The 16,105-nt window shown below is 48.2% G+C and overlaps 1 protein-coding gene across 1 annotated transcript; it reads left to right on the forward strand.

The window, feature by feature from the left end:
* The first annotated feature begins 627 nt into the window (after positions 1–627).
* Positions 628–13,324, forward strand: OR10H5 (olfactory receptor family 10 subfamily H member 5). The gene is made up of 2 exons (NM_001004466.2): positions 628–683; positions 7,005–13,324. The coding sequence occupies exon 2, from the start codon at positions 7,016–7,018 to the stop codon at positions 7,961–7,963; it is 948 nt and encodes a 315-aa protein (NP_001004466.1). The 5' UTR covers positions 628–683; positions 7,005–7,015; the 3' UTR covers positions 7,964–13,324.
* The last annotated feature ends 2,781 nt before the right edge of the window (positions 13,325–16,105 follow it).

The following is a 16,105-nucleotide window of genomic DNA, read 5'->3' on the forward strand; positions in this document are numbered from 1 at the left end:
GTGACCTTGGCCTTGTTCCCTGCCCTCTGTGGGCTTTGTGTTCCCAGAGGCAACCATAGAGGATGCTTCTTCTGAGAATCACACCTCTGTGTCTCTCCAGATCCCTTTCCTGATATCTGTTGAGAAGAGACACCATCCTGGGAAACATCACCCAGAATCCAGTCCCATTTTTCCAAAATGCTTGGAATTGGGGCAGCCCAGCCCAGCCTCGCTAGCCGCAGGGGGTGGTGGTGGTGGTGGTGTCAGGGTTTGATGGTGGTGTCAGGGTTTGATGGTGAGATCTTTAGGGAGGAGGTGATGTAAAAACTGAAACCTCAAATGAGAACAGGACTGAGATAAGTGAGAGTGAGTAGTGGTGGAAGGGGTCCCAGGCAGGAGGAAGGGAGGAAAGATGGAAGAAGGGAAGAAGAGAGGAAGGAAGGAAGAGAAGGAAGAAAAGAGGGAGGGAAGCAGCAAAGGAAGGAGGGAGGCAGGAATGGAGAGGGCAATCCCAAGGTCCCCCGCCTCCCTCCTTGGACTTCGATTACCCTGCATCCTGCATCCCAGGCAGGCTCCTCAAGACACCTCTGGGAACGTGCCACTGGGGAAGACGCCTGCAGAGATGAAGCTCTCACCCTGGGTGCACTGTGCCCAGGGCCATTACAGGCCTGGCTGCAAGGCGTCCCTAAAGGTCTCTGATGAAGGTAAGTGGAGTCGTCTATTTCCAAACCTGCTTTCCAGGATGAAGTGGCAAGAGTACTGGGAGGTGGAAGGGAGAAGGCAAGAGAAGCAGGGAAAATTGGAACAGAGGGAGGCACAGGTTTGGGAAAAGAAACGAGAGGGAGCATGGGATGATATGGAGTAGGGGTTCTATAGCCTCAGCCACCTGACTCCAGGCTGGATCAGCCTGTCCTCACTCCAAGTCCCCCATAGAGTCCACCTACTGCCTAGAGCAGCCCCCTTTCCACAGCAGTCGTGGCCACCAGGGTCCATGCTGGGGTGGGGAGTGGTCTCTATACTAAGTTGTGGAGGAGGGTGGTTCTGAGCCAAGCGGGTGACATTGAGTGTGTCACCATGCATGTGGGTGTACTTAGGCATCACCCATGTGTACTCCTGCCTTCACTGTGTGTGTGTGTGTGCAGTTGTGTGCGCTTGTATGAGATTATTGTAGCTGCCATTTCAAAGTGCCGCAAACCTTGTGGCTTAAAACAAGATAAATGCATTCTTGCAGGGTTCTGGAGGCTAGACGTCTTAAAGCAAGACGTCTACAAAGCTACTCTCCCTCTGAAGATTCTAAGGGAGAAGATGCCTTGCCTCTTCCAGCTTCTGGGTGCTCTAGGCATTGATTGATTTGTAGCTGCATCGCTCCAATCTCTGCCTCTCTCTTCACGCGACCTTTTCCTCTGTGTGTCCTCCCCTCGTCTTTGAGGGGCACCAGTTGTTGGATTTAGTAAACAACCTAATTCAGAATAATCTCATTTTTATTTTTATTATTATTATTTTTTGGACAGGGTCTCGCTCTGTCACCCAGGCTGGAGTGCAGTGGCACGATCACAGCTCACTGCAGCCTCGACCTCCCAGGCTCAACTGATCCTCCCACTTGGCCTCCTAAGCAGCTGTTAGCGCAGGCACACAGCACCACGCCCAGCTAATTTTTGTAGAGATGGGGTTTTGCCATGTTGCTCAGGCTGGTCTCGAACTCCTGGATTCAAGCAATCCCCCGCCCCACCCACCTTGGTCTCCCACAGTGCTGGGATTATAGGTGTGAGCCACCACACCCAGCTGATCTCATTTTTGGATCCTTACCTTAATGACATCTGTAAAAGACTCTATTGCCACCTAAGGTCACATTATTTTATTTTAGTTTAGTTTAGTTTGGTTTCAGGGTACATGCTCAGGATGTGCAGGTTTGTCACACAGGCAAATGTGTGCCATGGTGCTTTGCTGCACCTATCAACCTATCACCTAGGTATTAAGCCTGGCATACATTAGCTATTTTTCTGAGGCTCTCCCCACCCCTGCCCTACCCCAACAGGCCCCAGTGTGTGTTGTTCCCCTCCCTGTGTCCAAAGGTCACATTCTGAGGTTCTGAATGAACATGAGTTTTGGAGGGACATGATTCAACACACACAGTGCCCTCACACATGGAATGGCTGTGTGTCTCCAGTTTATTCCAGCCCCAGATGAGCACCAGGCATTTGGCAAGGGCTCCATAGGTGTGTGCAGAATGAGTGGTGGTGTCTCTGGTTCTGGCTGGGGGTGTCACCGCCAGTGTGCATTTCAGAGCCAGTGCGACTGTGTGGCATTGCTCAGATCTGTCTGCCTTTGCATCTGTGTGTTCAGTTGTATGATAAAGTGCATAAGCAGAAAGAGCTGGATGAGTTGAATTGTGTCTCCTTTGAGGAGAGAGGGCACTGGAGCAGGGTCTGGGAGCCTGCGTGTGTGCCAGCCTGGGATTCTGCATTTGCACCAGCCTGGGATTCTGTGTGTGCACCAGCCTAGGGTTCTGCGTGTGCATCATTCTGGAGTTCTGTGTGTGCAGAAGCCTGAGGTTCTGCGTGTGCACCAGTCTGGGGTTCTGCCTGGGAGCCCTCAGCTGGGAGAAGGACCCTGACCTTTGTCCTTCCCTAGGTCTAGACTTGTGCAGGGGAGTTGGAGAGCCCCCTTGGAGATTTCTGCTAAGGTGCTGTTCTGGGAAAGAGTGGGACAGAATGTGCCAGAGAGCTGAGAGAGCCCTTTCTGTATTTCTCTTTTCTTTTTTTTCTTTTCTTTTCTTTTTTTTTTTTTGAGACAGGGTCTCGCTCTGTCACCCAGGCTGGAATGTAGTGGCATGAACATGGCTCACTGCAGCCTCGAATTCCTGTACTCAAGCAATCCTCTCACCTCAGCCTCCTGAGTAGCTGGAACTACAGGTGCACATCACCACGCCTGGCTAATTTAAAAACAATTTTTTTGGTAAAGATGGGATCTCACTATGTTGCCCAGGCTGGTCTCAAACTCCTGGCCTCAAGTGATCCTCCTGCCTCAGCCTCCAAAAGTGCTGGGATTATAGGTGTGAGCCACTGGGCATGGCCCCTTTCTGTAATTTTTAGTAACATTTGTGCATTTAGGAGCAGGGACCTTGGAGCCTGTTGGTAGCCAGGAGAGAGGAAGAGGTGAGCTGCACAAGGGAGGGAGTGCTGGAGGGTAGGAGGCATTTACAGTGACAGAAGAAGGTTCATCTGGAATGGGGTTGAAGTCCCTGACTGTCACAGTGCCAATGTGAGTCACCTGGCAGGCAAGGATGAGTGGCAACCAGCTCAGCAGACAGCAAACAGCAATGATGACAGAGATGATCACGACAACGTCAGCTGGCAGCCTTGAGAACTGTGTGCTAAGCACTTGGCATCCCGTCGCCCAGGGAACCCCCAGGGCAGGTCTCTGGTTATCCCAGCATACAGTGAGAACCTGGGATTTGAACCATGGGTCTGCGTGACTCCACGGCCTGGATATGTCTTAGAGAATTGTCTCTGGCTGTCAGAAGAGGGATGGGGCAGAGGAGGGGAGATTGGTAAGCACCGTGGGCTGAGAGAGAGGGCGTGAGGCCAGAGCTGGGGTTGTGTCCCTGCTATAGAGGGGGAGGGAGTGAGGCTCAGAGATGACAGATGAGGGAGAGGAGGGATGAAGAAGAGGAGGGAGTTGAGGCTATGCTGCAGTTGTTGGCTTGGCTGGCTGGGTCCCCTCCAGCCCACACATGCTACTTTTCTGTGTGGAATGATCATTCCTAACTTGAGCCAAACTGTCCATTTTCCAGGTGGTATTCTGAGTCCTCCAAGCATTGGGCTAACCTTGGCTCTGAGAGATAGTTAGTGACAATCTTCTAGGTAGGGCTAGGAGGAAGTGTAATATTGGGGTGAACCAGGTCCCAGGTAAGTATTCGAAAACGTGCTATCACAACAGTAGCTTTCTCATAGAAGTAAAAAGTAGGACAGAGGATACTAGAGGCTGGGAAGGGTAGGCAGAAGGGAGAGATAGGGAGAAATTGGCTAAAAGATACAAAATTACAAATAGAGGCCAGGGATGGTGACTCACGCCTGTAATCCCAACAATTCAGGTGGCCGAGGCAGGCAGATCACTTGAGGACAGGAGTTCGAGACCAGCCTGGCCAACATGGCAAAACCCTGTCTCTACTAAAAATACAAAAATTAGCCAGGTGTGGTGGCGGGCACCTGTAATCCGAGCTACTCGGGAGGCTGAGGCAGGAGAATCACTTGAACCCGGGAGGCAGAGGTTGCAGTGAGCCGAGATCATGCCACTGCACTCCAGCCTGGGCAATGAGAGCAAAACTCCATCTCAAAACAAACAAACAAAAATAAGTAAATACAAATAAAATTTAAAAACAGTAGTCTTCAGTTAATCAAAGATATCTATATAGTTATATAGATACCATACACACACACACACACACACACACACACACACACATTTTTGTTGGACTTAAACTACAGATGTACTCCGCAACTCCTCAGTGATATTTTATCATCCTTATTTGATCATCATTGATATGAACAACAGGGGTGATCTCATTTTATTTATTCCCATTTATCATCATGTCTCACTTCTACTTCCCTTCCCTGCCCCCACCACAGACAGCTGTTCCATTTTGTTCAAAGTGTATCCCTTTGTTTGCATGAATTATTATTATTTTTTTTTTTTTTTGAGACGGAGTCTCGCTCTGTGGCCCAGGCTGGAGTGCAGTGGCGCCATCTCGGCTCACTGCAAGCTCTGCCTCCTGGGTTCATGCCATTCTCCTGCCTCAGCCTCCCGAGTAGCTGGGACTACAGGCCCCCGCCACCACGCCCAGCTAATTTTTTTGTATTTTTAGTAGAAACGGGTTTTCACCATGTTAGCCAGGATGGTCTTGATCTCCTAACTTCATGATCTGCCCGTCTCAGCCTCCCAAAGTGCTGGGATTACAGGTGCATGAATTATTATTAAATTCTCCAGCCTAGGTGACAGAGTGACACTTGGTCTCAAAAAAAAAAAAATCCTCTCTTTTAGCTTTTTTGAAAATATGCAATAAGTTACAATTAGCCATATTCACCCACCAGTGCTGCAGATCTTACTGGAATTTTGCCAGTTTGTCAGCTAATTCCCTCTTTATGTTCTAGGGCACAATTCATTTCATTTAGTTGTTATTTCTATTTTTCATTATCATTTTTTTATTCGCATTTTTTAATTTTCCTTTTATTCTAAAGATTATTATGTGATATGTTACTGTGGCAATATCACGTAACTCAACCTGATATTTATGTTCTAAATATATAGGTAGTTTTAAGGGTCCTCATCTTAGTAATTTCCAATTTTATTTCAGAATGCTCAGAAAACCTGGGTCTTTCTTTTATTAGCACTTGCTACAAATTAAGAGAACTTTAGTCTGACCATCCATGCCGGCCCTCAATCTTAAATTCTTTGTTTGTTTGTTTATTTTTGAGACAGGGTCTCACTGTGTCGCCCAGGCTGGAGTGCAGTGGCGTGATCTCAGGTCACTGCAACCTCTCTCTCCTTGGCTCAAGCAATTCTCCCACCTCAGCCTCTCAGGTAGCTGGGATTACAGGTGCATGTCACCATGCCCAGGTAATTTTTGTGCTTTTAGTAGGGACGGGGTTTCACCATGTTGGCCAGGCTGGTTTTGAACTCCTGACCTCAAGTGATCCACCCACCTCGGCCTCCCAAAGTGCTGGGATTACAGGAGTGAGCTACTGTGCCCGGCCCTTAACCTTAAATTCTTAAGTGTTTATTCCAGGCCCTGTGGCAGGTACATTATGAGCATAATCTTATTAAATCCTCATAACAACCCTGTCAATTTGGGATTATTATCCATTTCTTTTAGGGATGAGAAAACTAAGGCTCACAACAATCAAGGGACCAACCCACGGTCCCCTAGCTCTGAAGTGGGGATCCAACCCAGGTGTGGCTGAATAGAGACCACCGAGATTTAAAAATAGGAATAATAATTATTATTTTTATCAGTATTACTATTTGTGAGGTTCTTACTACGGGCCAAGACTTGTGCAAAGCAAGTAAGATGCATGATCTTATTTAAACCTTTACACAGTTTGTTTTTGTTTTTGTTTTTGTTTTATGAGATAGCATCTCGCTCTATCACCCAGGCTGAAGTGCAGTGGCTCAGTCATAGCTCACTGCAGCCTTGACCTCCCAGGCTCAATCGATCCTCCCACCTCAGCCTCTCAACTAGCCAGGACCACAGACATGCACCACAATGTGTGGCACATTTTCTTATACTTCGTAGACATGGGGGTCTTGCTATTTTGCCCAGACTGGTCTCAAGCTCCTGGGCTCAAGTGATCCTTCTGCTTCAGCCTCTGACGTAGCTGGGACCACAGGCATGCACCACCATGCCTGGCTAATTTTTTTTTAAATTTTTATTTTGTAGAGATGGAGTTTCACTATGTTACTCAGGGTGGTCTCAAACTCCTGGCCTCAGGTGACCCCCCTCTGCCTCCGCCTCCCAAAGTGCTGAGATGACAGGTGTGAGCCATCATTCCCAGGCTAAACTTCAGCACATTATTATTAACATATTTTTGGCCAGGCGTGGTGGCTCAAGACTGTAATCCCAACACTTTGGAAGGCTGAGGAAGGTGGATCACCTGAGGTCAGGAGTTCGAGACCAGCCTGGCCAACATGCTGAAACCCATCTCTACTAAAAATACAAAAATCAGCTGGCGTGGTAGCACATGCCTGTAATCCCAGCTACTCTGGAGGCTGAGGCAGGAGAATCACTTGAACCCAGGAGGCAGAGGTTGCAGTGAGCTGAGATCACACCACTGCACTCCAGCCTGGGTGACAGAGCGAGACCCCATCTCAAAAACTAAAACTAAAAATAAATAACATATTTTTGCACATGGAGTAACCATGGCTTGGACAGATGAAGAAGGCGCTCTCAGATGTCCTCCCAGGTGGGAGTCACTAGACACCCCTGTGCTCCTAACCACTGGGTCTTCTTTCCTCTCTCCACCAACTAGGGGTGGCCGCCATGCAGGGGCTAAACCACACCTCCGTGTCTGAATTCATCCTCGTTGGCTTCTCTGCCTTCCCCCACCTCCAGCTGATGCTCTTCCTGCTGTTCCTGCTGATGTACCTGTTCACGCTGCTGGGCAACCTGCTCATCATGGCCACTGTCTGGAGCGAGCGCAGCCTCCACATGCCCATGTACCTCTTCCTGTGTGCCCTCTCCATCACCGAGATCCTCTACACCGTGGCCATCATCCCGCGCATGCTGGCCGACCTGCTGTCCACCCAGCGCTCCATCGCCTTCCTGGCCTGTGCCAGTCAGATGTTCTTCTCCTTCAGCTTCGGCTTCACCCACTCCTTCCTGCTCACTGTCATGGGCTACGACCGCTACGTGGCCATCTGCCACCCCCTGCGTTACAACGTGCTCATGAGCCTGCGGGGCTGCACCTGCCGGGTGGGCTGCTCCTGGGCTGGTGGCTTGGTCATGGGGATGGTGGTGACCTCGGCCATTTTCCACCTCGCCTTCTGTGGACACAAGGAGATCCACCATTTCTTCTGCCACGTGCCACCTCTGTTGAAGTTGGCCTGTGGAGATGATGTGCTGGTGGTGGCCAAAGGCGTGGGCTTGGTGTGTATCACGGCCCTGCTGGGCTGTTTTCTCCTCATCCTCCTCTCCTATGCCTTCATCGTGGCCGCCATCTTGAAGATCCCTTCTGCTGAAGGTCGGAACAAGGCCTTCTCCACCTGTGCCTCTCACCTCACTGTGGTGGTCGTGCACTATGGCTTTGCCTCCGTCATTTACCTGAAGCCCAAAGGTCCCCAGTCTCCGGAAGGAGACACCTTGATGGGCATCACCTACACGGTCCTCACACCCTTCCTCAGCCCCATCATCTTCAGCCTCAGGAACAAGGAGCTGAAGGTCGCCATGAAGAAGACTTGCTTCACCAAACTCTTTCCACAGAACTGCTGAAATGGCTGACTTTCTCTCAAGAGATGTAGCGAATGGGAACACTTTAGTCTTCCTCCTTTATTTCTTTTCCTTTCCTCCCTCCCTCCTTTCCTCCCTCCCTCCCTTCCTTCCTTCTTTCCTTCCTCCCTCCCTCCTTTCCTCCCTCCTTCTCTGACCTACAGTCCACCCTCCCTCCCCCCTCCTCCTTGCCTTCCTTCCATCCTTCCTCCCTCCCTCCCTCCCCCTTCCTTCTTCTCTGCCTACTTCCCTCTTTCCCTTCTCTCTGTCTCTTTCTGTTTCTATACCTCTCTGTCTCTGTCACTCTCTTTCTCCCTCCTTGTTCTTTTGTTTTTGTTTTTGTTTTTGTTTTGACTGAGTCTCGTTCTGTCACCCAGGTTGGAGTGCGTTGGCACAATCTCGGCTCACTGCAACCTCCACCTCCTGGGTTCAAGCGATTCTCCTGCCTCAGCCTCCCGACTAGCTGGGATTACAGGCACACACCACCATGCCTGGCTAATTTTTGTATTTGTAGTAGAGACGGGGTTTCACCATGTTGGCCAGGCTGGTCTCGAACTCCTGACCTCAGGCATTATGCCCACCTCAGCCTCCCAAAGTGCTGGGATCACAGGCGTGAGTCACCACACCCAGCCCTGACTTTTTTACTGTAGACATCCCAGTGGTTTCTTATTGGGGTTTTGATTTGCATTTCCCCAATGACTAATGACAGGCTTTAGGTGCTTAACACATGTGAGTTATTTTACTTCACAGGGAAGATAGGATTACTAACTCCATTTTGTTTGTTCGTTAGTTGGTTGGTTTTATACACGGTCTTGCTCTGTTGCCCAGGCTGGAGTGCAGTAGTCCAATCATGGCTAAGTGCAGCGTCAACTTCTGGGCTCAAGCAATTCTCCCACCTCAGCCTCCAGAGAAGCTAGCACTGCAGATGCATGCCACCACAAGGGTAACTTTGTATTTTTTGTAGCGACAGGATCTCACGATGTTGCCCAGGCTAGTCTTGAACTCCTGGCCTCAAGCAATCCTGCCATCTCGGCCTCCCCAAATGCTGGGATTACAGGCATGAGCCGTGACACCGGCCAAGTTCTATTCTGAAGATGAGGAAGCTAAGTTATGAAGAGATTAAGTTAATTAGCCAAAGGTCTTGTCACTGACATGGAAAAGCTAGAATTGAACCTATTCTTTAAATTAGAGCTGGGGATAAGAAGTACACATTTCTCAGGGCCTGTGAAGAGGGGAAGTCAGTCTGTTCCAGAAAGGGAGGAAGAGCTGGATTGAAAACAAGAGACACATTCTAGCTAGCACCAATGGAGTGAGCCCAGAACTAGAAATATGCTGTCTCTATGGGTTTAGGAGGAATCACCCAGTGTCAGAGAATTAGGGATACACCTTATGAGTTTGGCCAAACTGGCTGTAGTATTTCTGTGTTTTTTAGTAGACGTGTTAATACGAAAGAGTGTGTCACATTCAAATATTAAATTGGGCCAGGCACAGTGCCTCACACCTGTAATTCCAAAATTTGGGGAGGCCGTGACAGGAGGATCACTGGAGTCCAGGAGTTCAAGACCAGCCTGGGCAACAAAGTGAAACCTTATCTCTACAAAAAAATTAAAAAATTAGCTAGACATGGCTGCATGTGCCTGTAGTACCAGCTACTCAAGAGGCTGAGGTGGGAGGATCACTTGAGCCCAGGAGGTTGAGGCTGCAGTGAGCAGTAATTGTGCCACTGCCCTCCAGCCTGAGTGACAGAGTGAGACCTTGTCCCAAAAAATTAAATTAAATTAAATTAAACGCTTTGCAAAAAAAAAAAACTACCCATTAAATCCGGGTTCCTGGGTTATATTAGAAGTTCCGGCCGGGTGCAGTGGCTCATGCCTATAATCCCAGCACTTTGGGAGGCTGAGGTGGGTGGATCACGAGGTCAGGAGTTTGAGACCAGCCTGACCAACATAGTGAAACCCCGTCTCTACTAAAAATACAAAAAATTACCCGGGCGTGGTGGCACATGCCTGTAATCCCAGCTACTCAGGAGGCTGAGGCAGGAGAATTGCTTGAATCCAGGAGGCGAAGGTTGCAGTGAGCCGAGATTGGGCCATGGCACTCTAGCCTGGGTGACAGAGCGAGACTCTGTCTCAAAAAAACAATAAAAAAAAGAAGAAGAAGTTCTAGGGCACTTAACTACTAATATCTGGGGGGGCATTCTTTGCCTCCCCTATAAAATGTAAAGGGATCCCAAATGTTAAACTTCCACCCCCATCACCTCGAGTTGTCATGGAAAAGAGAATGTTATACCCTGTTTATACCCCACGTGTCCTGGGGTGTAGCTAGTGCTTTCTAGCTGATCATGATTCTGAAGATACCTTGGAATAGGCTGGGAAACAGGTAAAAATCAGACTGTGTGAGTTTGAAAGAGTGCAGGAAAGGTGGCTTCTGGGTTATATCCAAGATGTGTCATTGTGGTTCCCCGTGGTGATCAGAAAAGCGAGCCAGCTTGCTGTAGTTTGGTTGACCAATGTCCATGCATTCTGAAATTAAAATAAGCTTTGTGATTACTCCTTCACTTTATTTAGTAGTAGTCATTGTGTAAATTTGAAACAACCGGAGAAGTTGGGCTTAGTGTTGTTTTTATACATGGCATATTCTAGACCCTGAGGGCCAGGTCAGGGTGAGGTGAGGGAGACACCTCACCTCCTTTAAACATTATTTAAAATGTTGACATTTTGTTCACCGTGGATTTTTTTTGCATTCATTTTGGTTTTTTAAAATATTGCATTAGGCCGGGTGTGGTGGCTCACTCCTGTAATCCCAGCACTTTGGGAAGCCGAGGCAGGTGGATCATTTGAAGTCAGGAGTTCGACACCAGCCTGGCCAACATGGTGAAACCCTGTGTCTACTAAAAATACAAAAATTAGCTGGGTGTGGTGTGCGTGTGTGGTCCCAGCTACTCGAGAGGCTGAGGCAGGATAATTGCTTTAACCGGGGAGACAGATGTTGCAGTGAGTCAAGATCGTGCCACTGCACTCCAGCCTGGGCGACAAGAGTGACACTCCATCTAAAAAAAAAAAAAAAAAAAAAAAAGCATAAACGTAATTTATCTTGATTGCTGAATTTTTTGATGGCCCCTTACATTGGGTGCTCAAAGTGACTGCCTTATCTCCCCACAAAGGAAAAACAAAACGCTTGCATTTTTCCCTCAAAAGACTAAAAAATAGAAGCCATCATTAATTTAAAATAGGATTAAGTGCCAAAAGTTCAGTGAGAACACAGCAGGTCTGGGGGTGTCAACTCTCCATGCCCCAGGTGTGGAAACAGTCCCCCTCTGCCTGCTAGCTTTGGCCAGCCCCCTCCCCCGGGACCCTGTCCTCATCTCCCCCCATTAATCAGCCTTCACTTTCTGAAGTCTCACACCTCCTGCATTCCTCACTGTTTGCCAAGCCTTGATAATGGTCCCCTCTGTGATTGGTATCCCCAAGGCAGGACCAGAGCCCAGAGAGGTGATTAAGGGGCAGGAGATCCCAGGCTTCAGGGACCTGCTCCCTGAGTTCCTTGGAGCCCAGTGTTGTAGTCCTAATTGCTAGAGACCAAGGCCAGCTTGAAAGATGTGATCTGTGTCCTTCACTTCTTTTGTTCTTTTCTTCCCCGGTGCTGGCCTAACCTCCTTGCATGTGGATAAAAATTCAATCCCCTCCTCATGGAGGTTGTCCCTCTTGTTTCACCCCCAAAATCCTCCAGTTTCTGTCTGCCAAGCAGCTAGAAGGAGCTTTTTTTTTTTTTTTTTTTTTTTGAGATGGAATCTAGCTCTGTCTCCCAGCCTGGAGTGCAGTGGTGCTATCTCGGCTCACTGCAGCCTCTGCCTCCCGGGTTCAAGCGATTTTTCTGCCTCAGCTTCCCAAGTAGCTGGGATTGCAGGCACATGCCACCACACCCAACTATTTTTTGTATTTTTAGTAGAGACGGGGTTTCGCCATGTTAGCCAGACTGGTCTCGGACTCCTGATTTCAGGTGATACTACCACCTCGGCCTCCCAAGGTGCCGGGATTACAGGTGTGAGCCACCACATCCAGCCAGAAGGATCTTTCTAAAGGGAAACTCTGAAAAATCATCCCTCTACTTAAACCTTCTGTTTCTCTTAGGATACAGTATAGACTCTAGTGTGATCATCAGGGCTGCGTGGCCAGGTCTATACTTCATCCCCAAATTCATTCTTTGACCCTATAGCCCAATGGGCTCCCTGCTGTCCCGGCAGTAAACCAAGCACACCCGGACCCCAGGAACCTTGCATCTACTCTTTTTTTTTTCTTCAGAGATTGGGGCATGAAATCTTCCATTCCTCTTTGCATTGCTGGTTTGCATTATTGGGGGTATTAGAAGACACTGGCTTTTGGCAAGAGGAGTCTAGATTCCAGGTTTGGTGCTAACTGACAAAGTATCTTGCGGCAGGTAGAAATAATCAGTTTTCTTGCATTTTTTCCCTCGAAAGACTAAAAAATGGAAGCCATCATTAATTTAAAACAGGATTAAGTGCCAAAAGTTCAGTGAAAACACAGCCACATCTGTGTTTTCTCTGTGTTAGTATCTCACACACAATTCCACTCCAAATACATCCCTGATGCTGATGAAACGTTATGTATATAATTGTATGTTGTCTACAAGGTAAACCTTAAAAGTATGACAAATAGAGGTTACTATATGTTCATTGAATGTCTTTTTTTTTTTTTGAGAGAGAGAGAGAGAGAGAAATAAGATCTCACTCTGTCACCCATGCTGGAGTGCAGTGGCATGATCTCAGCTCACTGCAACCTTCACCTCCCAGGTTCAAACAATTCTCCTGTGTCAGACTCCCTGGAATTACAGGCGTGCCACCATGCCTGGCTAAATTTTTTTTGTGTTTTTAGTACAGACAGGGTTTCGCCATGTTGCCCAGGATGGTTTCAAACTCCTGGCCTCAAGTGACCTGCCCACCTTGGCCTCCCAAAGTTCTGGGGTTACAGGCATGAGCCACCACGCCTGGCCCCTTGCATCTACTCTTGCTTTTGCCTGTAATACCCTTCCCCCACCTGCTCGCACACTCCCTTCGGTCTTCCTGAGGGTCACCTCCTCAGAAAGCTCTTTCCTGACTTCTCCACACTCGGTCACCACCCCTATTACAAGCCCTCATAGCAACTCACTTAGGTCCCTCAGAGCTTTTATCACAAGTTCCCATATATATTAATTGGTGCAATTATTTGTTTATTTATGTCTTCCTCTTTCTAGGGCAGACATTGAGATCGGGATGTCTTATCTAATTGGTTCAACCCTGTCTTCCCAGTGGTGCCTAGAAAAATGCCTGGTACACAGTAGGTGCTCAATAAATGCTTTTTGAGTGAATACAGCAGGGTTTGTCATTCTGCGCCCGGCTGACATTTGGGGACAGTGGTGGGGGCTGTTCTGTGCATTGTAGGATGTTGAGCAGCGTCACTGACTTTGACATACTAGGTGCTGTAACATACATATCCTCTGCCTCGTTTCAAAGACCAAAAATTGTCTCTAGAAATTTCCAAATGTGCCCTGGGAAGGGGAGCAAAATCACCATTGGCAGAGAAGCATGGGAATGCAGAGACTGGGCTAATAGAGCTCCAGCTGCGTCTTACCCCTCTTGGCTCCCTTAGAACTTTGCTCATGGGATGGTTCGTTTTATGTGTCACCTTGACTGGGTCAAAGGGATGCTCAGAGATCTGATTGGATATTATTTCTGGGTATGTTTATGAAGGTGTTTCTGGAAGAGATGAACATTTGGATTGGTGAACTGAGTAAAACAGGTGGGCCTTCCCAGTGTGAGAGGGCATCCTCTAATCTGTGGAGGGTCCGAATAGAAGAAAACAGCAGAGGAGGTTGGACTCACATTCCCTTTGCCTGGCAATCTTCTTGCTCTTACTGCTCCTGGTTCTCAGGCCTTCAGACCCAGGTTGGACTCTACACCATTCGTTTTCAGCTATTGGCCGAGTCAACACTGTCTTTCCTGGTTCTCACCTTGCACATGGCATATCATGAGACTTTTCAGCCTCCATAATTATGTGAGCCAATACCATATATATACATATATATATAATTTTTTTTTTAGATGGAGTCTCACTCTGTCACCCAGGCTGCAGTGCAGTGGCATACTCTTGGCTCACTGCAACCTCCATCTCCCCGGTTCAAGTGATTCTCCTGCCTCAGCCTCCTGAGCAGCTGGGATTACAGGCACCCGCCACCACGCCCCGCTAATTTTTGTATTTTAAGTGGAGATGGGGTTTCGCCATGTTGGCCAGACTGGTCTGAAACTCCTGACCTCAAGTGATCCACCCACTTTGGCCTCCCAAAGTGCTGGGATTACAGGCGTGAGCCACTGCACCCGGCCCTTATAATATATATATATCCATCTACCTTATCTATCTACCTATTCGTTACCTATTTATCATCTATCTATCTGTCTATATCTTATTGGTTCTGTTTCTATGAAGAGCCCTGACTAATACAATCCGTATCTTGGTCACAGCCCTGATATTTCTCTGTGTATCACTGCACCAGGTAACATGCAAATGCCTCAAAAGCTGGGAACAGAAACAAACGCTTGTCTATATCCCCAAAATTAGCACAAGTCTGGAGACAAAGAAGGCCACAAATAATTATTAAACTAATCTTAGCCCAGGTATGGTGGCTTACGCCTGTCCTTTATTGGTTGGGCGTGGTGGCTCATGCCTGTAATCCCAGCACTTTTGGAGGTCAAGGCAGGCAGACTGCTTGAGCTGGGGATTTCAAGACCAACCTTGGCAACATGGTGAAACCCTGTCTCTACAAAAAATTTCAAAAATTAGCCAGCTGTGGTGGCACATGCCTGTGGTCCTAGATTCTCAAGAAGCTGAGGTGGGAGAATTGCTTGAGGTTGCAGTGAGCCATGATTGCACCACTGCACTCCAGCCTGGGCAACAGAGCAAGACCCTGTCTCAAAAAAAACGAAACAAAACAAAAACAAATGACAACAAAAAACCCACCAAGCCTGTCCTTTATTAATGGGTATATCTAATGACTTTCTGATATTCAAGCAGAAACCTTTAGGCAGTGAGAGAGAAGCCATGTGGACATCTTGTGGGGAGAAGGGAATTCCTGGTAGTGGGCACAGCATGTGCAAAGGTCCTGAGGTAGGAGCATATTTGGTGTGTTTGAGGGACAGTGGGGAGGCTAGAGCAGAGTGACTGAGGGAAGGAGAAAAGGGAGGTGAGGTCAGAGAAGCAGCAGCAGGGCCCAGATGTGTAGGGCTTTGTTGGCACTGTAAAAACTTCGGATTTCTGTAGTCCCAGCACTTTGGGAGGCCGAGGCGGGCGGATCACGAGGTCAGGAGATCGAGACCATCCTGGCTAAAACGGTGAAACCCCGTCTCTACTAAAAATACAAAAAATTAGCCGGGCGTAGTGGCGGGCGCCTGTAGTCCCAGCTACTTGGGAGGCTGAGGCAGGAGAATGGCGTGAACCCGGGAGGCGGAGCTTGCAGTGAGCCGAGATCCCGCCACTGCACTCCAGCCTGGGCAACAGAGCGAGACTCCGTCTCAAAAAAAAAAAAAACAAAACTTCGGATTTCCCTGTAAGTGAGACGGAGTCATTGGAAGGTTCTTAGTAGAGGAGATATAATACAATGTACACCTCCTAGGCTCAAGCAATTCTCAGGCCTCAGCCTCCGGAGTAGCTGGGATTACAGGCACACGCCACCACGCCTGGCTAACTTTTGTATTTTTAGTAGAAACAGGGTTTCACTATGGTGGCCAGGCTGGTCTTGAACTCCTGACCTCAAGTGATCCACCTGCCTCAGCCTCCCAAAGTGCTTTTTCAATCATAAATGTCACTGCTCTAAACATCCTTTTGTTTACACTGACATGGAATGTCTATAAGATGTCAATCAAATTGGTGGAAATTAGGAGGCAGGATTTCAACCCAGGTCCTTCTCACTCAAACACGACTCCCCACACACACTTACCCACTGCCCTGGGGGGTAATGAGGTTTCTTTCTCACAGGAAATACATAAGTCAACATTCTGGATTGTTCAGTGTTGTAGGATTAAATTAGTCCACTTTAGGAATATTTGTTAAGAATTGATATATCGTCCAAGTGCCATGCTGATGCTGGATGTGATAA

Source organism: Homo sapiens, chromosome 19, assembly GCF_000001405.40.
Source record: "Homo sapiens chromosome 19, GRCh38.p14 Primary Assembly".
Lineage (NCBI taxonomy): Eukaryota > Metazoa > Chordata > Mammalia > Primates > Hominidae > Homo > Homo sapiens.

Excerpts from the sequence above, each read along its gene's own strand:
- OR10H5 (NM_001004466.2), top strand. The coding sequence starts at position 7,016 with ATGCAGGGGCTAAACCACACCTCCGTGTCTGAATTCATCCTCGTTGGC.